Consider the following 26,572-nt stretch of genomic DNA (forward strand, 5'->3'; position numbering starts at 1 on the left):
CACTTCATGCTCACCTCATGTAAATGAAGTGGTAGCCCACAATCAGTCTGATTGGTTGCAGAAAGCAGCCAACCAGAGGCTGAAATGAAGTTGCCAAGGTCACACTCCTGTGCAAACATCTCATTGGTTGCAAGAAGCAACCATCAGAGGCTAGTGTGAAGTTACAAAGTTATACATTGCATGCAAATGAAGGCTCACCACAATCAATCTGATCGGTTGTGGACAGCAACCATTCAGAGGCTGGAGTGAAGTTACAAAGCTGCAAAGGAAGATTCCACCTGCAATCAGTCTGATTTGCTGGGGACAGCCAATTTCTCATCTGCCACGCAGAAAAAAATGGGGTTCGCAAAGGGAGTAGCCCCTGGTCCTTTTGTTACTTAGGTGTGAAAAGTGAGAGTTTTCCTTTCAATTCAGTTCTATGAAGTTGGTGTGAAACAGCCTTTGGTTCCCTGCATCTACACCCAAATCTCCTGTCTCAAAATCAGGTTTCCCTTTTGTAATTTTGGCATTTATAATAACTTATTATACACATTTGTCTCTAGAGGTCTTCTTGAACACACATGGCCTTGAAATAACACTTTCTAAACATTAATAGCTATTGATAAGCAAAGAAAATAAAATAAAATAGAATTAATCAAATTTATCTGCTTTTTAAGCATTTAGATTCTGAACTTAGACTTGTATTTATTTCTAAAATGTTTGAATGGAATGAAAAAAATATTTACCAGATACTTAGGCAGTGGAAATTCAGTATTTGCCACAATATCAGTTGAATGATCCAAAAAAAGTTAAATGATTCTTAATTTACTTAAATTAAGAGAGCAACAGTTTTAAAAACATTGAGGGCTAATTACAACTAAATAAATTAAAATATATGCACATCAAAATATACATGTATGGGTACTTTATTTTCAGCAACCAACTGAGAAATTCCTGTTTAGGCAAGATTCTACCCACTCAGAAGTTTGGTTGATAAGCTATCTTCATGAAATACATAATAATAACTCTGTGTGTGTGTGTGTGTGTGTGTGTGTGTGTGTGTGTGTGTGTAGAGAGAGAGAGAGAGAGAGAGAGAAAGGCTGCTGGTTTTGAAAGTGGAATGATGATAGTTCTACTATTTCAAGTATCAATAGTCTTATAAGGTAAAAATAGTGACAGTCTAATCAGATCTAACCAAAAATTTAACCAAAAAAAAAATTTTCAAGCTCTCTTTTTGAAACAACGCTTTACATAATATACTTACATTCATTACTAATCTCACTCAAGAATACAGGTAATGATACTCTAAAGCCAGTGAGCGAAATATGCAAGTAATATCTAAGTCGCGGTTAAGCTTCCTTCTTTCCTTTGACATGAGGTACTCTGAGACTTGTACATTTTTTCACTTATTCACCTTTTAAGTAATACAGTTTAATTTCAACGTATTAAAATCAGTCACAAAAATGCTCTTCCAAAGCATTTACAAAAGCTTCTGCTTACTAGTGTTTTAGTCATAATTTCAATTTGCTAACTTCCTTTGCAATACGTACTTTCGTTTCAATGTTTTCTCTTAAATCACCACCTCTTTCATGATAAATTGTTGTGATAAAAAAAAGTGCTTCCTCTGGTGGGACGATGTAACTATTCATTTCGCTAATGTACTTCACATCTGTCATTTGCAGTCCCTAAATACTTTGTCACAGCACGAAATAGAAACCTTACAGAGTAGGTCTATGAAGTATGTTTTCATTTTAAGTCACTATCTATGATGTAATTTGGAACAGTGGAATGATTAGATCAGTCTTTTCTTTTCTTCTGTCAGTACCAGAGACAAAGCATGTTAACTATAGAAATGTCAACTTTCATATTCCCTGATAAACTGAGCACTATTTCCAGGATTTATTCTAAACTCAGGCTTTGAGGGTGGGGACTGACCCTTATGTGCCTGCTCATACACAGTTAAGTAATTATTTGTGGTTGATAAGGACTACCTATTTTCTATTGACTTGAAGAAATTGTATTTGCAGTAGGTTTAAAAGAAAAAGCTGCCAGAGGAAATTTGGGTGGAACCCTGTCAATTCAGTTAATTTAAGACCCAGAGTTACTATATAAAGGAAGGAAGCAGATACCAACTCTTAAAAAAGACATCTACATTATCCAGAATAGTGCTCAAAAATATTATGCATTCAAATATATTTTAATAAGTGAATGTTGAGTAATGAATGACATAAAATATTTTTTACTAAATACAACTTTACCATAATATTAAAATATATTTGGCAGGAAAAATCCAAAAGGGATCCCTCTGTTAGGAGATTGCATTCTCTTTTATTCTTTCTTTTCTTTTATCAAATGATGCAGCCAAAGAGAGAGATCTGAATAAGACATAACGCAAGTGTAGAAACAAAAGTCCAGGAAATCATCTTAATTATATGTATTTATTTGTACAGTCTTTCTCTGTCACCAAGGCTGGAGTGCAGTGGTGTGGTCATAGCTCACTGCAGCCTCGAACTCCTGGGCTCAAGGGATCTTCCCATCTCAGATGCCCAAGTAGCTAGAACTAGAAGTGCATGCCGCCATGCCCAGACAATTTTGTAATTTTATTTTTTGTAGAGATGGGGTGTTGCTTTGTTGCCTAGGATGGTCTTAAACTCCAAGCAACCCTCTCACTTTGGCCTCCCATAGCACTTGGATTAGGGACGTGAGTCACCATGCCTGGCCATCTTAATTGTTTCCAATAAATCATACATTTAAACTACTTAACCTAGCAAATATTTAAATAAATTAAGAGAAAAATATTTTCTAAATTACTTAAGGCCAATCATAAAGAAATTACAATATATGTGAATGGAAATTAACACAAAGAAGTATTTTTGTTTTCAGCATCTAAATGAGAAATTCCTGTTTAGGTAGAATTGTCAGAAGTTTGACTGAAAAACCATCTTCATAAAAGTACACACGAATAACCTAGTATTGTGTGTGTGTGTGTGCATATATATATATATATATATATATATACATACACACATGAGTGTGTGTGTATGTGTGTGTGTGTAGACAGCTCATTTTGAAAGTGGGATGCTAATACTTCTGCTATTTCCAGCATGAGTCATTTAGAGGTAAAAACAGTGACTCATCAGATTTAACAAAAATTTAGCCAAAAACCTAAACTTTCAAGATCCCTTTTTGAAACAAGATTTTTACATAATATGCTATCATTACTTATTAATGTCACTCAAGAATAAAGATAATGATGTTCTAAAGCCATCTCAATAAGGAAGCCGTAAAATATTGTTCATTGTATCTTTATTTCATCTTTTAAAATCTGCTTTTGTTTATGTTTATGTTGTATTTAAGAGAGATTAATCCTGTATGGGATTATATATAAATATATGTATATTTGGTACTAAAAATGAAATGGATATATCAGTCTAATAATAGAATTCTGGAGGTAACTGATACTGAACTAACTGTAGAAGATTGATAGAGCTTCAGAACTTAAGAGGAGCTTGTGAAGAGATAAAAAGAAGCCTCAAAAACGTCCTGAAATTCATATGGATGGAATGGGCAAACATTACGCTAAGTGAAATAAGCCAAATACAGGAAGTCAAATACCACATATTTTCACTTATATGTGGAACCTAAAACAATAGAAGTCACAGAACCAAAAAGTAGGATGGTAGTTACTAGCAACTGGGCTGTGGGGGAATGGGAGGATTACAGTCAAAGGGTACAAAGCCTCAGTAAGGAGGGATATGTTTTATTTTTTTTTAGGTGAATTGCACAGCTTGGTGAATATAGCTGATAATTGAGTCCTTTATGTTTCAATGTTGCTGAGAGTAAATTTCTAATGTGTTCGTCAACAAATGTTAAATATTTGAAGTTAATTAGCTTAATTTACTCTTTCCATGTTGTATTAAAAAAGCGGAACACCACTTCTATAATTATATGCAACTGTAATTTGTGTATAATAAAAATAAAAATTAGAAAATCTAAGTGCATGTGCTGACCTGGATGTTTCTAAAGAGAGCCTTCAGAGCTGTCATGACATTATAAAAAATAGTGACTCATTTTAGCTTAAAAAGAGGCATATTATTCAATACCTTGCAGATTTATACTGAAAAATATTTAAACATATGAGAAACAAATATTTGGTATCTGTTAAGATATTTGAATAAAATAAATTGGATTTACTGTAAAATAAATAAGGCTTCAGAAAATGATATAGGTTGCAAAAATATATAATTGTGTCAATTGACTGAAATGCATCAAATAGCAGGTGTGACAACTGATAGCTAAAATGATATTTAACAGAAATTCGTATGATAGAATTTCATTTTTTCTTTCCCATTTCGTCATCAAAAATACACGATAGATAGAATAAAATGAAAACAGATGAAATGAATTTCCGCATGGGTTATGCAAAGTTGCATCTCCTCAGTGAAATCTTAGGAAGTCCCGAATTCATTCCTGTGATTATGACTGGAATGTGCAGAATCTGTGAATTACTTCTTCATTCTGCCAACTGACAAACTGCTCCAAGTGATGGAACACAAGGCAAAGGGAGGCAAGTTTGTTGATTAAGGCATCAGGAATTTTTTCCTTGCTCTCTGCTCTGCACCCCCTCCCCTCCTCATTTCCCTTTCTTTTTCTTTCTCCCTCCTTCTCTCCCTCCCTTTCTTCTTTTCAGTTCACTTCATGGTTTTAAAAGTTCCAGTTCCCTCAAAAACTATTATTCTGACATTTTATTTTCACAAATCTTGTCAAACATAGGTGTTAAAATGCAGTACATATGTTCACCCTGTTCTGAATTTAGTTTCCTAAAATAAGGAATAGAGTCCAGAGTAAGTTTAAAGTTGCACTAGAAAGTTTATTTATTTGTTAGCATTTGTTATCAACTCTTTCCTCAGTCTGTATGCTAATAGTCTTGTGACAGTTATACATTATTTGATGTCACCCAATGACAAAAGGAAAATTTACAACTCGTTATTAACTTTCTACATTGAATTTATTAAAAGAGGTACATAACTTTTATTGTGTCTTAATTTGTGGTAGTCTTTCAGCTACCTGAAGTTTATTTAAATGTATTATTTTTCACCAGGAAATCAGTAGTAGAACAGTTTCAAGAGGTAGCATTAAAATGTCTTTGACATATAAATGGTACAGTCTGTATTGCTGTACTTCAAATTTCATGAACTGTATCAAAGCTGGTAACATATGACATGAACATTCAGAAATACAGCTACAGATCATTTTCCTAAAATGTTTATTTTACATATCTTAACGTAGCTCATGAATGTTTATTTTGAATCAAAGAAACGTTATTTTATCTAAAAACAATTGCTACTAATTGTATGAGTACATTTTTATTAAGGGAATTCATGGCTTTAAAATAAAATGTGAATGTGACTAAACTAGATTCTTGCCAACTCTAGAAGTTTTACGGATATAATATGATTTATTTACTCACGTTTAAATCCAGAGAAAAAAACACTAATACTTTTAAATGTCATATAATAATTATATGGTTTTTTTTTAGATGTGCTATTTGAAATATAAGTAGAACTTGCTAAGGAGAAGTGCCGAATATCTAAAAACTTCAGTGAATAATTATTTTAACACCATTTGTTAAAAATATTTAATGAAAACTAAATACGTTTAATTTTCTTGCTTTTATATATTAATAAGTGAAATAAAGCACTTTAATCTCTGTATTTTAATCTTTTAACTCATGGAAAATTTTATTTTTAATATAAATAAACATGCTCTATGATCAGTGACTTTTTTCATGTGTCAGAAAGATGTTTTAAGTGAAACGGGAAAAGTTTGCTTGTCCCCCTACAGGGTTTGAGGCAGGGTGTGTGGCTCGCTTCTTCAGTGCTACGCTGCTCAGACCTCTAGGGGAGCATACAGATGGTCAGGCTGTGCGGCTCCGACCCCATGGCACTGTCTAGGGTTGAGTGTTTACAGCTCCTGAACCCCCAGTGGGCATGTATTACTGGGCGCTCTCTTAGTCTGCCATCTATAGGCAGCTTGTGTTAACCAGCTCAATTAGACCCTCTACCTTGTCACAAGAACAGAGGGCTTTCTGTATCCTGGGTTCTTGCCTTGGTGTATGGGAAGAATCAGATCACATACATGTGGGCTTGGAGAATGAGTCCAAAGTTTCATTGAGTGGGAGTAGCTCTCCGACGATAGGGGAGCCAGAAGGGAGATGGTTTTCCCTCAGAGTTGAGTCATTTGGCAGCCCCAGCTTTCCTCTGACTGCCCCGGCCAAACTCCGCCTCATGCCGGCCTTCGAAGGCCTGCCAGTGTACCCTCGTCTGTTAGTGTGCTTTTCTGCCAGCGTGCTCCCATTGACGTCCTCTCGACGTCCAGCCTCTTGTGTCTTCTGCCAAACTGTTTCTCTGTCTCTGCCAGCTGCCTCTGTCTCTGCCTTGGTAGGGTCTCGGGATTTTATAGGCCCAGGATGGGGACGTGGTGGGCCAGGGTGGTCTTGGGAAATGCAACATTTAGGCGAAATGGCAGGACTGCCTGTCCTCACCTAGGTCCGTGGGGGTGGAGCCCTAGCCAGGGACCACGCCCTGCTACACCCAGCGCTTCCCTTCCCTCCTTCTGTATCATTTAAAGGGACCATGCTCTTCCATTTCCAGCACTCCCGTATCATAAGGAATTCTGAAATTCTTTTTTTCTCTTGAAATTAAAAAATAATCTGGACTTCAGTATCAATTGAACACCTTATGGTTTTATTCTTGACGCTTATAACCTTAATTGGCATTAGTGGTTTTTTCTGTAAAATGGGATAGTAATGTCTGTTCTACCATTCTCACACCACAGCTTTTTAGGGGGAGGTGGAGATGTTGAAGACAATTTGAGCTAATGGCTATAAAATAATGTTTGACTCATAAAAGTACAATTTGCTATCAGTATTGTTATGTTATTTGTGATTTATAAAACAACATTGATTTTTTATTTTGAAAATAAATATGAAAATGTATAGCTAAATAGAAAATTGGGGGATCTATAATCCAATCCATATATTTCACAGACCAACAGAAACCAAATGAAGGATGTATGAAGTGATTAGAACCCCAAATGGATTACCTACTTCAGCATACACTCCACTTACCATTATGCATTGGTTTGTGTGCCAATTCATTACTTTATTTTTGCCAACAGATTTTCATTAAGATTCAAATCTATCAGTTTGAATGTTCTTAGCATAAAGAAAAAACTAAATATTTAAGGTGAAGAATATCCCAATTACCCTGATTTGATCTTTATATATTACATGAATATATCTAATTATCACATGTACTCCAAAAATATGTACATGTATTATGTATCAATAAAAAGGTTAAATTATCTGATAAATCTATATATTTTACTTGGTTTATGCAGGGTGGATTAACTACCAAAGACTGCATTAAAGTTGGATGAAAATGTAATCTGGTTAAATTGGCCCAAAATATTAATCACTACCATTAGCACAGTAATCCATTATATTAGTATAAAGCTTTGTGTGACAGTGCAACTTTCACATAAATCTTTAGTCAATCTTGGCAACAATAGTACAAGATAGAAATTATCATTGCCTTTTACAGAGTGTTAAGGCTTTGCCCAAAATCATTCAGCAGGCAAAATGTTTTTTATATATATATTAAATCTACTGATCCCCAACAACATGATAAAATTGAAGCTCTGTTAGTTCAGCAGTCAGTTAATTTAAAATGTTGTTTTAAAATATTGGTATATTAATTTACAGGTACATTGTAATCTAATTAAAAAAGACTCATTTCTACCCAAAATTGGTAGTGTCTTAATTTAGATGTCTAACTCAATTAATTCAGGGTCTATCTTAACTGTCTAACAGTTTCCTAGAATTGTTTCTCAATTTCTACCTATTATCAGTTCCAGCATTCATGTTAGACCCCTAAGTCAGCCTTATGAGTGGATCATAGGGAAAATATTGGCACAGGCACGACAATATAGGCACAAAAATATTATTTGAGGCCCCACTGTGACTTAAATTTTGGAAATAGCTGGGGGATTTGACTCTTTTTGTTTTTATTAAATGTAATAAAAATATCATCCTGTAAAATAGCCTGGATAGATTTTTCTAATGTTGCATTTGAATGATATTTTATAAAGTAATGGCTTCAGAGCAAATTGAGTAGTGTTAGGAGAATTCTATTGGCTGTTTTTGTGATTTATTAGCACACAAAAAAATTCTGCTGGTCATTTTAAGGTACATACCATTGTGATTTTTTTGCTACCAGAAATAATTTTGGCTCTGTAATAAGAGATATACAGTTGTTCTTCTCTATCCTTGGGGAAATAAGTCAAACAAATGACAGGTATGACACTAAATAAATATTCACAGCATTTGAAACATAAATGATTTATTTTTGAGTAGCAATTGAGTTATGTTGTCAAAAGAAATGTTATTTTGCAATGATGAATTCTTAATCTTTAATTCTGTTGTAAATCCCATCCTTTTCAACCTGAATCCTAACTTACAAAGATTTTTGAATGTAAATAAAAAATCTCTAAATGTTTTACACTACTTTTTATAGCTGTGAATTTTTGTGCATAAGTTGTTACTAGTGTTTAAAATGGTGGTGGACAATAACTTTTTCTTTTTTGTTGCATAGTGAAGTAAAGATAAGATCATTTGTTATGATAAAACCCTAGCCATGTAACAAAATGATATGATATAATATTTAATTGTTTTGCTCTACTGTGAGTATGTTTTAGTGTAGTGTATATAATTGCTAATTCTTTACAAATATAAAAACAGAAACAAATGAATAATATCTTAATAAAAACTGCCCTTTTAATAATTTTTACATGCATTTGATCACTAATCGTTTCCTTAAAAATATTTAAGATAGCAGATACTTTTGAAACTGTTGAGATATAACTTTATGAGCAACTATTTCATGTAAATCTATTGGAACAACCAGATATATTCATAATAATAACTGTAGTTTGCTTTGATTTTCATAGTGCATACAGTAAAACAAAATATATTTTATGATTTCCCCAAGTTACATTGTGCCATTTTGTTTGGTTTTGTTTTGTTTTCAAAATACTCAGCTTCCTATTAGCTATTGAAAGATGGGAGAGAAAACATTTTTAGAATAGTGTAAAATTTAGATGTTCTTTATTAAAAGACACTGCCTTTGCTCACAGTTTCTTTGTTTCAAAATAAATGAAGAATATATTTTGGTAAAGATGAAACACAATCTTTTCAGGAGCAAGAGCCTGCTGCATATGGCAATATTTTAAATGGGAAACTCTCTGGTTGTGGGGAGATGTATCCAAAAAGGAACCACAGATTGAATTTGAAAGTGTTTTTCAGATACAGTTGAGGATATTTTCAGAAAAAAAAAATAATTCTTACATTTCTGAGACAGTGTTGTTATTGATTCTTTGGGAAAGCTATCATCCCAATTCTACATGAAACTAAACTGGTCAATATTCCTGTAAAACACACATGCACATGTTTTTTAAAAAACTCTTTTTAAATACTGAGCGTAAAACAAAGACATGTTAGGGAAAAAACATTAGTGGTTATACAAAAACTCATTATATCTTGTCTGAAATAAAGTTTAGAAAAATAACTATCTGAGGAGTTTCAGTAACTGAGAAGTTCAGCAACACGATGGGCTATGTTGACTATTTTGAAAAACTCATAGAACAAGGGACAGATGGTGTAATTGACTATATTATTATAACTTATCCTGATATACTAGAGTATGCTTATGTATGTATTATTGGGGCCTCACAGCACTGTGGAAACAAAGCAGGAAATTATTTTGCCTTTTTCAGATGAGGAAACTTTAAACATTTGCCTCAGGGTAAGGGTTGAGGTAGAACTTAAACACCCACGTGTTTTTATTTTTCTTCTCATAGAACACTCACTCATACACACTGTCCAACCTCTTTTTTTACTTTCAATTATTTTTTAATGGAGAATGAGCATGTGAAGTGGCTCCAAGTCCAGCTGACCCTCAGTTCACTGAGTATACGTGTGCTTGACCTCAAAGTCCTCACCTGTAAAAGAGAGGATTGAATTCCATCTTCTTTTGTTACTGCTCACTCCACCATCTAAGACATGAGGATGATTTTTTTTTTTTTTTTTTTTGAAACAGAGTCTCCCTCTGTTGCCCAGGCTGGAGCGCAGTGACACGATCTTGGTTCACTGCAAGCTCCGCCTCCTGGGTTAACGCCATTCTCCTGCCTCAGCCTCCCAAGTAGCTGGGACTACAGGCGCCCGCCACCATGCCCAGCTAATTTTTTGTTAGTGGAGACAGGGTTTCACTGTGTTAGCCAGGATGGTCTCGATATCCTGACCTCGTGATTCATCCGCCTCGGCCTTCCAAAATGCTAGGATTACAGGTGTGAGCCACCATGCGCGGCCAAGGATGATTTTCAAACTAGAAACAGAGTACATGATCAAGGGAAATTATAGACTCAAACAAAGAAGAGATTCTAAGATATGGTAAAGGGCTTTATATAAGTTAGGGAATACTTGATAATTGGACTGCTTCAAGACTCAAAAATCATGCAGCTGTGCAATCATGACTGCCAACGTGTGGAGAGCAAGTATAAATTCTTTGCCAGCAAGGCATGTTAAGTCAACATTTAAAAAATTATTACAATGTTAGACTGGTAGATAAGTTAGATTACTTTAGATGTGTATGTTACTATGGAATGACAATATTTTTGTGTTCAAGATGTAGAAGTCAATGCAGGCTAGATAATAATCAGGTTAGGTGGGATTTTAGGAGAATAACTATTTCAAAAGAGTGTTGACTGATAGGTAAAATTAACCTGGCACGTGGACTGTAATGATTGGCCATTGGGTACTACAATTAACTATTTCTTGGAATATATTTCCATCTATTACTTAGAGATCTGGTTCAATATTGCCATTTTGTCTTCCCAAAATTCAGTCTTCTATTAGGTTTTCTGTTTATTAAACAAATATATTTTTAATGTTGATATGTATAATTCTAAACATCCTGTTCAGTTGGTTTTGTTATTGAAGCAGTATGTGCTACCTAAATCTTTGCCTCCTTTTTGACTTAATCTCAGAAGACAGAGTTAGAACCTTGAGACCTGTGCTTACTGTTACTAAATGTTTCTATGCTGTAAATGTGTTGTCACTCATGAGGACTTTAATTTGGCAATAAATTTATCACTCCGCATAAGAGTAAACAAAATGTGCTCTATTTGTTTGAGTGTAATTACATTTTTCTTCCTATAAAATACATTTTTCCCCACTTTTTCCAGTAAATAATATTATTTTATTTTAGTAAACTTTCTAATCTGGTAGTTATATTTTACATATTTTAATTAATGACTGAAGACTTAAAATTTGGACATAGACTTTAAGAAGAGATGAGTTATGTTAAGATAATTCTAAGGTCTATCCAAACTCTTAGACTTCTAAGATGTAGCCAAACTCATATTTCTAAGATGTATCCAAACCCTTAGAAGTCTAAGAGTTTTCAACGAAACCAAGAATTTCACTCTGAAAATATTATGCCTGGCATTGCAAACTTTTCTTACAATGCTGACATATATTTCTTTTAGAGATGTTTGTATGAATGTTCTACTAACATACACTATGTTAGAGGGAAAGTCAACAGCTATATTAGTAATGCTAAACTCACATTGATGTTCCATTTCCTATACTACTTTGCTATTTGCAGCACAGAATCAAAACTACATAATGCATAGTAAGGAAAGACAAGTAAAATATTTTAAAACAAATAACAACTGAAAAAACTCAGTAAAACTTTTGCTACCCAATGATTTAAATTTAATGTCAACATTGTCGCTGTTGATTAAATTTGAATCCCTAACTAAACTATATGTTGTTTCTGAAATGTTTTTAATGTGCAAAAGTATACAGGTACCAATTCATTATTACTTCATCTTAGATTACTAGATTTCAAATACACTCTATTTTACGTAGTGTTGATATTTTTTCAAACAAGGACTAGATATCCATCTGCTATTGCAAAATGGTGATCAATCAACAAAGTACCTCAATGTTAGTCTATTTTATATTACCATATCTTTTGCTGTATGAGCTTCTATTTTTGGTGGCTGATCCAAATTAATATGGTTCCTCTACCCAGTGGCATTTATTTTGGTTATAAGATTAGAAATGTAAATTTGCAATAAAAGAAGAAAATAGAAAGCTGGTTTTAATGAATATTTTACACAAGACTAATTAACAGAATCCCCTGCAGGAATTTGGAAGTAATAAGAAATTGACTGAAGATAAATTAAAAATTAATAAAGGAGTCTCCAAACAACTTTGTTTATGAACATTTAACAGTTGCTTTCTTAGTTATAAATATTTCAAGCTGTTTTGTTATTCAGTATGTATTATTCTTGTAGTGTTCATAATTTTAGAGGTGATTAGACAAAAAGAGAGTAACACACAAAACAAAATGTCTTTAAAATGTTAAAAACCCACCTTGGGAAAACTTGCTAATGTGAAAATAATGGCTTAATATTCATGTTTTTTGTCTACCAGTATATGCAAAACAGGTTCTTATATCCATATAAGGATCAAAAGCCCTTAAAAGGAGCTAAAGGAAACTCAGCAGTTTGATTTCTGTGAACAATGTGAATAGTTTTAGAGGAGGCTTCTGAGCAGAAGATAATGCTGGTCTTTGTCAAACATTTTGAAAATTGGTTTAAATGATACAAATTCACTCTTGCATGTAAATTGGTGAGAACATCACCCCAAAAGGATACTCTTAAAACATCTTTCTTCAAGCACATTAGGTCTTAATTTATTCAGGTACCTGAACATTTATGGGCAATTTCCCTCAATGTTTGCAAACAAAAGGCATAAGTTGAAGAACTTTAGCTGCAGTTTGTCAAGAAAAAAATTTTAACTTCAATTTCTACTCAAAGTTAAAATGGAAGAATCAAACAATTTGAATGACATTTATTCTCTGTACTTATCATGTCTGAATAAAAACACCACCAAACAACTTTCAATTATTCTCTGCACATAGTAAGTGAAATGCATTTGGCAAATGTGCTACATAAAAATAACTTAAAATGTAATTTTCAAATACATAGAAAGTATTAATTTTATTCATGGGGACATATATTTTGTATATTTGAACTAATATCTACAAATAATAACAGTTACAAATATTTAGTAATAAGAAGCAGCTCTTAAAGTTACCTCAAGAGTATACCATACATTTCTTGTAATATTAAAATCTCTTAATATTTAAAACTCAGCAGATGTTTCAGAAATGTTTCATAGGGAAATAATAAACATAAGAGTGCTGTAATACTGAAAGAATTTCAAAAGAAAATGAAAGTTAGATTCTCAAAGTTAGATATGTCAATATTCTTTAATCTTCTCCCAAATCTGAAATGCTGTAATAAGAAACTTTTAATGTTCTTAACATACTATATACCTTTTAACAAGAAAGAAATATTTCCCATGTAACCTACAAATTTTATAACCAAATTTAATTGTACTTGTTCTGATATAAACTGTCCTCATTACTATTTCAGTTCTACTATCAATCTGTCTGCAAGATAAATATTCCACTGTCCTTCAAAAGATCCTCCATAGCTTAAAAAGAGTCCACTATATATTGGTGATAAGAATCAGAATCACTAATGCCTCATGAATTTCTTACTTTAATTTGGATTTTCTATAGTACAGTGAATTTTTTTCTGAAAGATAAAGAAACAAAAAGACTTAAGTCAGCATGACATTGTAATTCAGGTGAATAGACTGCATGCTATTAGAAAAAAGGAAATGGAAATATTCAAAGAACAGAAAGAGAAACCAAGAGAAAGAGAAAGTGATACGAGAGAGGGAGGGGAAGAGGAAGGAATACGAGCCTTCAACTAACAGTAGTTAGATGTTATGTGTTACATGCAAAGTACATTGGAAATAATTCTTTAAGACTACATAATAATTCTTTGCTTAGTCTTTCTTATCTTTTAGCCACAGCAGAGCGTAGCATTAGGAGACATTGTGCTTTCCCTGGTTACCATCTCCTCTACCTCCACCCTACTCGTCCTCCTCCCCCTCCTCCCCACTCTCTCTTTCTTTTTCTCTCACTCTCTCTCCCTCCCTCTTTTTTCTCTCCCTCATTCTTCTTTTCTATTCTCTTGCATATTTCTTGAATCCAGAGAAATATAATTTGCAAATAAAACTCTAGAAAAATTTGTATTTTGGAACTAGCAAGTGATAATTATAGACTCTGTATTCTTAGTAATATTGCCATTCTAAATTCTTCTCAGCCTTTTAACAAATGCAAAGACATTTTATTGTATTTTTTGCTTTTGTCATATGCAAGAAAAAAAATCAGCTTTTTTTTAAACTATCAGCAAATCATGCATAAAATTTCTATCAGCACAGAGTAAAATTTACCTTCAAGAATCTAAATGGCTGCAATGAGCCATTTGATACCAAAACTGAGTTAAGATATTCATTTTGATTTTTAAAAGTAAACATATAAAAATATCCTTACCTGCTAACTATTAGCTATACTATCAGGCATTCCTATTTCATTATTTATGGAGACGTTTTTAATATTGAAATAAACTTCTTAGTCTTCATTAGTAGGTACATAATGTAATCTAAAGTAGAAAAACTCAAAACTCTGTAACTGCAACTTTATTTTTCATTGCTATCATTTCCATCTTATTCCATCCTAGGTGATTCTTTTTTTTTTTTTTAGATGTTTTAGGACTTTAATGTTCTTCACATATTCAACATAAAATACTGACAATAGATAAACAATAGGGGAAAGACTTTTGAGCAAAGTATCACTCTCATCGTCAAACATTACAAAGAAAACAGTCAGGAGAACAAAGGATAAGGTAATTTAACAGAAATGTTTAGTTTAATGGCATAATTGAAAAACAACCAACCAATCAACTTTCTCTTCTACCTATGGAAAGAACGGTAAAAATGAATCAAGAACTTCGAGATGTTTTTCATAAAACAGCTTAAAAAGAGGAAGAGGAAGACTGGGGAGGGGGTGCAACTGTTGCTAATGGAATGCTATAATGCACAAGGTCAAGGATTTAATAAATTCTAAAAGTGTCTACATGTATCAATGATAACCGTATTATTAGAAATATAAAAGTATAGAAATATAAAGTATATGGTATTAAAAACAGACCTTGCTAATATAAACATATATAAAGTATGACACTTCTCTTGTAATAACAGTATAATGATCAATCTTCAGTTTGCCCTTTGCCTGGTACTCTTAAACCACTCCTCCAGTGGTCAATGTTGACCTTGAATCAACAGCCTCTGAACACAGGAGACCCCACAGATGTTTAGATTCAGCACCTAGAGGGCCCCACCTACCCTCTATGCTGTGTGTTCCCATGACTCTAGAAATAATTAATTGCAACTTGCAGTATGAAGTCCACAGGCAAGTTGGAAATCTAACTAGAAAAAGTAGCAGCAAAGGCTAAACAAGCGGGAATTTGTTAGAAAAGCAATGAGAAGATTTCTTAAAATGCTTCCAGTTCAAGTCAGAATTAAGGTGAACATTAGTTCCCACCAGCTTTACAGAGCTGTAGATGTTTTGCTGTTGTTCTTTCAAAAAAGAAGAATCTACAATAAACATGTTCATTTGAGGAAAATACTGTGTTTGTTAACCTTTTGTAGCCATACCCAAGTTACTTTAAACTTTGTATGTTGTTCAAGAACAGAGTATATCCTGGTTAGGATGTGTTCATAGCTGATGCATCTCCAAAAAATTTTTCATGAAGGCGGCCAGCTTCTGAACATCTTCAATAGTGACAGCATTATACAGAGAGGCCCGGATGCCTCCCACAGACCTATACCCTTTCAAGGGCAACATATTAAGTTCAAGAGCTTTATCAAAAAGTCTTTTTTCTAAAGCATCATCTCCTTTGGCATTGCAAATGCAGAATGGAATATTCATCTTGCTTCTATTTTGGGGCTCCACCGGACATACGTAGAATCCTTGAGAATTATCAATAATCTCATAAATCATTTGAGATTTGATGGAGCTAAGCTTCTCCATGGCCGCGGCACCTCCATTGTTTTTAATCCACTCCAGGACCAAGCCCATGACATAGATGCTGAAACATGGAGGCGTGTTGTACAAGGAGCTGTTTCCAGCCTGTACCTCGTATTCTAGGACCAAGGGGCACTCTCAGAGGGCAAACCCCAGCAGGTCATCACAGACAATCACCACAGTGACCCCAGCAAAGCCAACATTCGTCTGGGCACCAGCAAAAATCACACCAAACTTGGACATCCACTGGCTTGGACAGGAAGTTTGAGGACATGTCACAAACCAGTACTGCTCCCTTGACATAGGGTATAAAGTCAAACTCCACACCATGCACCACCTCATTTGCGCAATAATACACATAGGAGGCATCCGGGTTGAGGTTCCAGGTGCTTGGATCTGGAATTTTTGTATAACTCCCAAGTTTAGGGTGAATGATATTTATAGTCCCAAACTTCTTGGCTTCTTCTGCGGCCTTAGCTGACCAAGTCCCTGTCACCACATAGTCCGCACATCTTCCTGCTTTCAAGCCAATCAGGTTTAAGGGGACAGCACCGAACTGGCCAGACCCACTTCCTTGCACAAAAATCACCTTACAGCTGTCTGGAACGGCTAGCAATTCCCGCACAAGATTCTCTGTATCGTTAATAATCTTGGCAAAATCTGATGGCCTGTGACTCATTTCAAGAACACTAATGCCAACTCCTTTGTAGTCTAATAATTCCTTTTTTATCTCTAACAACACTGAGTGAGGCAGCTTGGCGGGACCAGGCCCGAAGTTGACCACGTGCCTCGGGGCGTCCATGGTGCGGCAGCGAGGGCGGCGAGTCAGCTAAGGAGGACCGAACACGTGAACGGCTAGTGTTCCTGGCTAGGTAATTCTTACAGATAAGTGGGTAAGTGAGTGGAGGACACAAACTTACAATGATTTGCCTGGTCTTCTAAGCAGACAACAAAAAAACAAATACATAAATTTAATTAAAATCAAATTTATTTTAAAACATAAAGGTAACTCTGATTCTACACTGACCCAAGGTCTATTGAATACTCTGTAGCTGTAAACTCTTCATCCTTTGAAGTCTTTCAGGGAATCAGTATAACAGTGGGCAAGTTGTTTCTTTCTGGGTATTTAAATGACATCCCATTGTCCTGAAAAAAAAAGTAATGATCCTTTTCAGTTGCCCATCTATTAGACACCCTAGTAAAAAAAAATGGTCTAAACACAAGCTTCGGGGTCAGGCAACTTGGAGTGTAGTTTTAACACCATTTTGAAGCCAATTTTGTGATTCTGAGTAATGTGGCAAAGTGATAATTTTCAGTTCCTCAATTCTTTCACTGGGAAAGAAATTGCTGGATAATTTAAAATAATATGTGTCAAAAATTATTACTTCATAATGGGAATATAATAATAATTACATCTATTTTCTATGTTTTTTTCTGTAAAGAAATTATCAGAGAATTCATGGTGAACCAATGGAAATTACTCTGTCTTTATTCTGTGGAACTTTTCTTTCCAAGTTCTTTCCAAGTGAGAATCAGTAAATAGCACTGGGTGCTCAATTTAAGTCTCGAGCAAACTGAAAAACAGTCAAACAGCTAACAGATTTCCTTTGCATTCAAAAATATAAAAGTCCAGAGAATTCAAAAGTAACTGTTTCCTAGACGGCCTACTTTCAGAAAGCATGAAATTTAATGTTAGGTGCTAGAAATCCAGAAACTTTCTCATTCTACCTATAGGTGATTATATTATAAAAGTGCTACTAACATCTGCAGTTACACTTGTTTAACATAGCGTCTTTCTAAAAGTACTTGAACAACAAGCAACATTTGAGAAAGCCACCACACAAATTCTACCCACAATGAAGGAACTCATACAGAGACTTGGCCCTCTGAAAGCAACCAGAAATAAAGCCAAAAGATCATATGCAACATACACCACAGTCATACCCTCAAGGAAAAAAAGAATGAAGCATTTAAAAGTCTCGTACAAATGAAAGCGAATTCAAAAATAGGAAGCAACAGCTCTTTCACATGAGAATGAATCAGTGCAAGATCTTCTGCAGTACAAAAACAGTGTTTTGACACCTTCAAAGATCACAGTAGCTCTCTAGCAATAGATCCTAACAGGAATGAAAATTCTGAAATAACAAAGAATTCAAAATATGGGTTCCAAGGAAACTCAATGAGATACAAGAGAAAGTTGAAAACCAATACAACGAAACCAGAAAAATTATTCAAGATATGAGAGATGAGAAGGCTATATATTATTGTAGCAATTTTTTATATACGTATAGATATATACATATATATCTCCATATATATATATCAAATGGCTATAAATATGTATGGATATGTATGTATATATAATAGAACTGTGGAGTTTAAAAATTCACTAAAAGAATTGCAAAACACAACAGAAAGTTTTAAAAATAGACCAGAACAATCAGAAGAAAAAAAATCAGAACTTGGAAACTGGTCTTGCAAATTAACACAGTCAGACAAAAAAAAAAAAGTTGTTTGAAAGAACAAAGCCTTTGAGAAATATGGGATTACGTAAAGCAACCAAATCTATGACTTATAGGCATTCCTGGGAGAGAAGCAAAAAAAAAAAACTTGGAAAACATATTTGAGAGAATAATTTTGTATTTTTTTAAACGTAGTTACAAAGGTAAAAATCTGGATACAGGAAATTTAGAGAACGCCTGCTAGATACTACACAAGATGAACATCACCAAAGCATATTCATAGTCATCAAGCTATCCAAGGTCAATGCTAAAGAAAAGATCTTAAAGACAGCTATGGAAGGGCAAATCTCCTATAAAGGAAATTCCGTCAGACTAACGGAAGACTTCTCAGGAGAAACCTTACAAACCAGTTTATATGCTGCTAAACTGAGCTTTATAAATGAAGGAGAAACAGCCTTTCCCAGACAAGGTAGAGGACAGATGCTAGAAAAGTTTGTCACCACTAGACTGAATCTGCAAGAAATATTCAAAGGAGTTCTAAACATGAAAACAAATGAATAATACTTGCTACCATAAAAGAACATGTAAGTACAAATTTACCAACCCTACAAAGCAATTAAATAAGTTACACTACAAAGCAACTAGCTAAAAACATGATGACACAAACAAAGCCTTACATATCACATATAAATATTAATTTTGAGCATAACTGACCTAAATTCTCCACTTATATAGATTGGCAAATTAAATTTAAAAAATGAGACTGAACCATCTGCTGCCTTCAGGAGATGTACCTAACATGTACTGAGACCCAGAGGTTCAAAGTAAAGGGGTGGAGAAAGACAGATCACATAAATGAAAAACCAAAAAGAGCAGAGGTTGCCATTCTTGTAATAGATAAAACAGATTTTAAACCCACAACAATAAACAGAACAACACACATACACACACACACACACACACACACACACAGAGAAGGTTGTTATATAATGACATAGGGTTCACTTCAAAAGGAAGATTAAATGAAAATCACACAAGTACGTGGAAACTAAACAACTTGCTCCTGAATGACTTTGAGGGAATCAAAGAAATTAAGGTAGAAATCAAAAAATTATTTCAAATGAACGTAGAGACACAACCTATAAAATCCTCTGGCATACAGCAAAAGCAGTGTTAAGACGATAGCTCATAGTGCCAAATGCCTGAACAAAAAGATAGAAATATCTTAAATTAATAAACTAATGCCTCACCTCAAGGAACTAGAAAAACAAGAGCAAACAAAATACTAAGCTAGCAGAAGAAAAGAAATAAAAAAGATCAGAGTGGAACTAAATTAAATTGATTTTTAAAATTATAAAACAATCAATGAAGGCTCAATGAAACAAGAAAGTTTGTTCTTTGAAAGGTTAAACAAAATAAATAGAATGCTAGTTAGATAAACCAAGAAAAAAAGAGAAAGAATCAAATAAGTACAACAGAAATGACAAATGTGTCATGACAACTGATATTGCAAAAATATAAAAGATTCTCAGAGACTGCTACGAACACCTCTATGTATACAAACTAGAAAACCTAGAGGAAATTGATAAATAACCGAAATGTAACTCCCAAGATTGAATCAGGAAGAAATTGAAATCTTGTGCAACCAATAATGATTTATAAAATCAAATCAATAATGAAAAATCTACCAACCAAAAAAAGTTGAGGATCAGATGGATTCTCAGCTGAATTCTATCAGACATGTAAAGAAGAGCCCGTACCAATCTTACTGAAAGTATTCCAGGAAATCAGGGCGTAGGGATTCCTTTCTAACTAACTCACTCTACAAAACTAGTATCACTCTGTTACCAAAGTTTGGCAAGGATACAACAAAAAAGAAAACCACAGGTTAATATCCCTGAGGAATATAGACACAAATATCCTCAAGAAAATACTAGCAAACTGAATCCAAGAGCATAGAAAAAAAGACAATTCATCATGATCAAGTAGGTTTCATCCCAGGAATATAGGAGTGGTTCAACATCTGCAAGTCAATAAATGTGATTCACCACATAAACAAAGTTAAAAACAAATCATATCATCTCAACAGATGCAGGAAAAATATTTGATAAAATACAGTAGCCTTTCATAATAAAAACTCTCAAGTAACTAGGCATTGAAGGAACATACTGTAAGACAAACCTGCAGCCAACATCAAACTGAATGGTGAAACACTGAAAGCATTCCTCAGAACTCGAGCAACCCAAGGATGTCTACTCTCACCACTCCTATTTAACCATAATACTGGAAGTCTTAGCCAGAAAAATCTGATAATGAAAAGAAAGAAAAGACACCCAAATTGAAAAAGAGGAAATAAAAGTGTCTCTGTTTGCTGACAACATGATCTTATATCTAAAAGACCCTAAAGTTTTCTTCAAAAGACTCCTTGACCTGACAAATAACTTTAGTAAAGTTTCAGGATACAAAATTAATGTATGAAAATCAGGTGCCTTTCTGTATACCAACAATACTCAAGGTAAAAACCAAATCAAGAACTCAATCCTATTTGCAATAGCCACACACACAAAACATAAAATATCTAGGAATACATTTTACCAAGGAAGTGAAAACTGCTACAAGGAGAACTACAAAACTCTGATTGAATAAACTGTAGATGTCACAAACAAATAGAAAATTATCCCATATTCATGGATTGGAAGAAGTAATATTCTTAAAATGAGTTTAGAGCCCAAAACAATGTACAGATACAATGCAATTCCTATCAAATTACCAATGTCATTTTCACACAATTATAAAAACAATTCTAAAATTCATATGAAACCAAAGGAAAGCCTGAGTAGCAAAGCAATCCTGAGCAAAAAGAACAAAGCCAGAGGCAACACATTACTTGACTTCAAACTATATGACAAGGCTATAGTAACAAAAACAGCATGGTATTGGTACAAAAGAAGACACATAGATCAATGGAACAGAATAGAGAACTCAGACATAAAGCCACACACCTACAACCAACCGACTGTTGGCAAAGTTTACAAAAGTAAACAATGGGAAATGGGTACCCTATTCAATAAATGACATTGGGAAAGCTGGCCAGCCATATGAAGTCAAACTGGACCCCTACCTCTCACCATATACAAATATTAACTCAAGATAGACTGAAGATGTAAATATAAGACCTGAAACTATGCAATCGCTAGAAGAAAATCTAAGAAGAACTCTTCTAGATATTGGCCTAGGCAAAGAATTTATGACTAAGGCTAAAGGCAAATGCAACAATAAAAATGGACAAATGAGATCTAATTAAACTAAACTTTTGCACATAAAAAAATAGTCAACAGAATAAACAGACAACCAACAGAATGGGAGAAAAAAATGCAAACTGTGCATCTGACAAAGACTAATATCCAGAATCTATGAGGGACTTAAACAAATCAACAAAAACCAAACAAATAATCCAATTAAGAAGTGGGCAAAGGACATGAACAGACACTTCTCAAAACAAGACATACAAGAGGACAACAAACATATTAAAAAGTGCTCAACATAACTAATCATCAGAGAAATGCAGATTAAAATCACAATGAGATACTACTTCAGACCAGTCAGATTGGCTATTATTAAAAAGTCAAAAAATAACAGATATTGGCAAGGATGTGGAGAAAAGGGAAGACTTTATACACTGTTGGTGGGAATGTAAATTAGTTTAACCTTTATAGAAAACAGTATGGAGATTTCACAGAGAAATAAATATAGAACTACCATTCAATCCAGCAATCCCACTCTTCAGTATCTATCCAAAAGAAAAGAAATTGTTTCATCAAAGAGACACCTGCACTTGTATGTTTATCACAACACAATTCACAATAGCAAAATCATGGAATCAACCTAAGGGTCTATTACTGGTTGACTGGAAAAAGAAATGTGGTATATGTATACCATGGAATACTATGCAGGCATAAAAATGAATGAAATTCTGTCTTTTGCAGCAACATATATGGAGCTTGAGACCATCATCCTAAATGAAATAAGTCAGAAACAGAAAATGAAATACCGCATGTTCTCACTTTACAAGTGAAAACTAAACAATGGGTACACATAGACATAGAGATGGAAATAATAGATACTGGGAATCCCAAAAGGGGGTACAGTGGTAGGGGGTAAGGGTTGAAAAACTACTTATTGGGTACTATGTTTACTATTTGGTTAATGGGTCCATGGGAAGCCCAAACCTCAGCATTGCTCAATGTATTAATATAAAAAACCTGCACATGTACTCTCCAAAACAAAATAAAAAAAATAAGTAGCCTAGTCCTCTTAATTTAAATAAAGTAGACTTCCATTTAAAAATAATATAATTTAGATATTAAATTATGAGATTTTATAAGGCCAACAATAATAATCCTTCATTTATTTATAACATTATAGAGCTTGATTAAACTAATGACTTTCTTAGTCTTCAAAATATTTATATATGTGATATCTGGCTGAGTTTTAGCATATGGTATTTGTTCCAAAATGTGTTGCTTCCTGTATTTCTGTTGTTTGTGGAGGAGGTTGAAAGAGGGAGTGGAAGTGTGTAGAGAAATTAGCTTTATGGAAAATAATATGCTCAACTTTGAGTATTAGAATTCTTTCAAATCAAAACAAGGTAACGACTGATTAAATATTTGCAATCCCTGATTCTATGCAACAATTCTTTAGAATAATAAATAATCATTATACAATTACCTGAAAATAGTGAAGACATTTTCTGTGAGAATTTAAGACAGGAAATATTTGTTTAATAAGTTTGGAATACATAAGGCAAAGTTGCTATTTAAACTTCAATTAACCCAATATTCCTTTACTATGAAAATATTTATGAAGCATACACTATGTGCCAGAGAGTTTTCTAGATTCTAGAAGTGCAGAAGCAAACAAGAGAGATAGAGCTTCTTATCTTCTAGAGCTCACCTTTTAGTAAGAGGACATTAAATACATAAACATATAAACAAATAAAATAACAAGGTAAGGTCAGCAAATACAACAAAAGATGTTTATGAAAATTTGACAAATGCCGCTGGATGCCGTTCATTATCCATCTTTTATTGCTAATAGAATATCGCTATTGTTCAATGTGGCAAAAAATCTATTTTTAAGTGTTCCTTGTGGCAATGTGATGCAGTTCTGAACAATAAAATGTGAGAAGACTTGAAATTTCTGGGAGAGTTTCATTCCTTTCCCAGGTATATCCCCTTCTTTGCTGTTTATTTCCTCCTGGCTAGAATGTGGAAGTGATGTCTGATGCTGGGTGGCCACGCTGTGATTATGTGAAAAAGACAGGACAAGGGCCTTGAGTTAACTTTACCAATTGCCTACATGTCTCTTAGGTGTGAGAAAAATAAAATTATAACTCATTTAAGCTACTCTTTGATGAACATTTCAGACAAATGGGAATCCTACTTTCTACAGAAAATGATGGTGTATGACTAATACACTGGATAGTTAGGAAAGGCTTTACTGGTACTTTAACATGACAAGAAGTGATCATGACCATAAAAAAATACTATACAGGAAAAAACGTTCTAGACAGACAGAAGACCTAATATGAGAATATGTGTCAGTCATGAGCTTTACCAATGTGACAAAATTGTCATGAATTATGGAGAAGTTACCTGTGATTATAAGTAGGTGGAATGAAGACACTGCCCAGTAAGTGTATCAATGGTGACTGGGTTTTTGAAGGAGGTAGGTAAAGCAATAATATGGAGAGGGATAGTAAATGAGAAAAAGAATGGTTACTTCTTTGGAGAAATATTGCTTAGTGTGGGTAACCAGGCCACACACCAGATGAGCTCAGCCTGCAGAACAACTTAGTTTGCTAGTCCTTACCACCAGCATATATAATACATATTACCAATTACTCTATTACTAACGAATTGGTAATGCATTTCTTTTAATGTGAGTAGGCAGGGTTTATTTGACATATTCTCTTTCTTCAAATACAGAGTCAAATATATTATTTTCGATTTGAAAGTGCCCTATATACTAGAAATTTTATTTTCAAAAGGACATTATATTTATGTTCATTTATGAATACAAACAAATCTAATATCTAAAATCTGAAGAGATATCTGAAATTTCAAAAAACATGAAAATCTAAATGAAAATGAAAAATCCACACATAAGCGAAACTCTATTGATACTGCTTTGTTAATGATTGATGTAATATTATATTTAAGCTATTACAAATAGTACTTATGTGACTGTACTCTTATTGAACTGAGCCTATATTATTTAGATTCAAAGAAACATAAATCCAGAGAAAAACAGATATTAGGTACTGGAAACTATACACAATTTGATGTTAAGAAATTCTAGATTTGGTGATGTGGAAGAAATAGCATGCTAATGCTAAGAGAGTTCGTGAATTACAGCAGTTAGCATGATCTTAATGAAATTTTGGAGCAATAAAACAAAATATAATCATTGATGATACCTAAATTTTAAAACAACAAATCCTTGTATGTTTTCCATTAACATTTGCAAAACTTCCAACTTTGTTGAATACCAAGCCTTATAATTATTCATTTACCATAATTATTAGTTGGTGTTTAAGTTAAAATAAATGTTTCTTGCAAATTTAAATGTTACATCTTATTGTTTTACTTTTAATATGAAAAGCTACTCTTTTTCCCTTCCCTGAAGTAAAGCTTTACCAAGTGATTTATACCCTTTACCAAGTGATTTATAAATGCAATTTGTTTTTAAATAAAAGTACAGTGGTACAATGATAGAAATTCTTATAACTCAAAGCTTTTAATTAAAACCTAAAATATGTGTGTCACTGTTAAAGAAATTAAAATTTCCAGAACCTTAATAAGAAAAACTATTTGTTAAGGCATCCTGAAGCAATTTTGCTTTTGAAGATAAGGCCTGAAACAACTTCGTTCTGGCATTTGTTTTTACTCTACTTAGCATTTCAGTCCTGTGTTCACAGAAATTTTCTCTATTCTTTATGTGGGAAAGCACCAAGGGTGTATCTGCCTGGAAGGGAGGACCTTTTGCAAAAGCCTAGGAAATTAAAAAGGGGTCAAATAAAAATGTGGAGAGTTGCCCCCAAAACCTCCAAAAAGACATGAGTTTTTTTTTTTTTTAAAGAATCCTAAGGGATTTATCTTTGGAGGGGAGGTTCGTGCATTAAACTGTAGTATAAGAGGAACAATTTTGTATAGACCCATCAGGGGTGTAGTGTAACCAGCAGTACTAATAGGGGCTTTATACTGCAATAACCTGCCAGGAGTGGATGAACAGCTGGGGAACAGTTTGATTCACAGATGCTTCCATGTTGGTAGAAGGCCTGTGGTGAAATTCGTGGATGTTTTACAAATAAGAAATCCATTGCCATTCCAGCTGTGCATCCTCAAGCTGCAGATGATAGTGAAGGGTTCTTATGCCAAATGCCCCCAGAACTAAAACAAAATTGCTTGTATAACACACAGCCCTTACTGGATAATAACTCTTCATCTGTCAATATTTAAAGCCAAGGTTTTTATTTAACGTCACAGTGAACGGGTAAACTACCTGAGATGCAAACAGGAACTCTTCATTACACTTACATGTCTGCCTTACCTTCCTTATTTAAGAGGTTCGGTTCTGAATATACATATGCAGAGATCCCCACTAATCTTTAGACTCATCCCTTGGCAATTTGTTAAGGCTTAGGGTCTCAGTATAGATTTTCTTCACTGAATAAAGCTGTGTGGAAATGTAGCCTATGCCAGTTAAATGAGTCCAGCAAGACATAACCAAGCAGTACAAAACCATTATGATGTTGAGGATCTGGTGGTAATTCTGAATTATTCATTAACCTTCATCCTTTTACCCAGCTGATATGTGGTGTCATCTGATGTTACTTTTATTGCAAACTGGAAAATTGTTCCAAAATATAATTCTTGCTTTTTTTTTTTTTTTTTTTTTCTGACAGAGTCTCCCTCTGTCACCTGGCTGGAGTGCAGTGGCACGATCTTGGCTCACTGCAACCCCCACCTCCCAGATTCAGGGGATTCTCCTGCCTTAGCC

The 26,572-nt window shown here is 33.9% G+C and overlaps 1 pseudogene, besides 1 other annotated feature; it reads right to left on the reverse strand.

Moving 5' to 3' along the window:
* Positions 13,710–13,839: an enhancer, noted in NCBI's record as "active region_1238". NCBI's record gives its function as "activates an Ori minimal core promoter by ATAC-STARR-seq in GM12878 lymphoblastoid cells {active_cell/tissue: GM12878}" and the evidence as "EXISTENCE:reporter gene assay evidence [ECO:0000049][PMID:35858748]".
* Positions 15,545–16,918, reverse strand: PSAT1P3 (phosphoserine aminotransferase 1 pseudogene 3; annotated as a pseudogene).

Source organism: Homo sapiens, chromosome 1 (assembly GCF_000001405.40).
Source record: "Homo sapiens chromosome 1, GRCh38.p14 Primary Assembly".
Taxonomy (NCBI): Eukaryota; Metazoa; Chordata; class Mammalia; order Primates; family Hominidae; genus Homo; species Homo sapiens.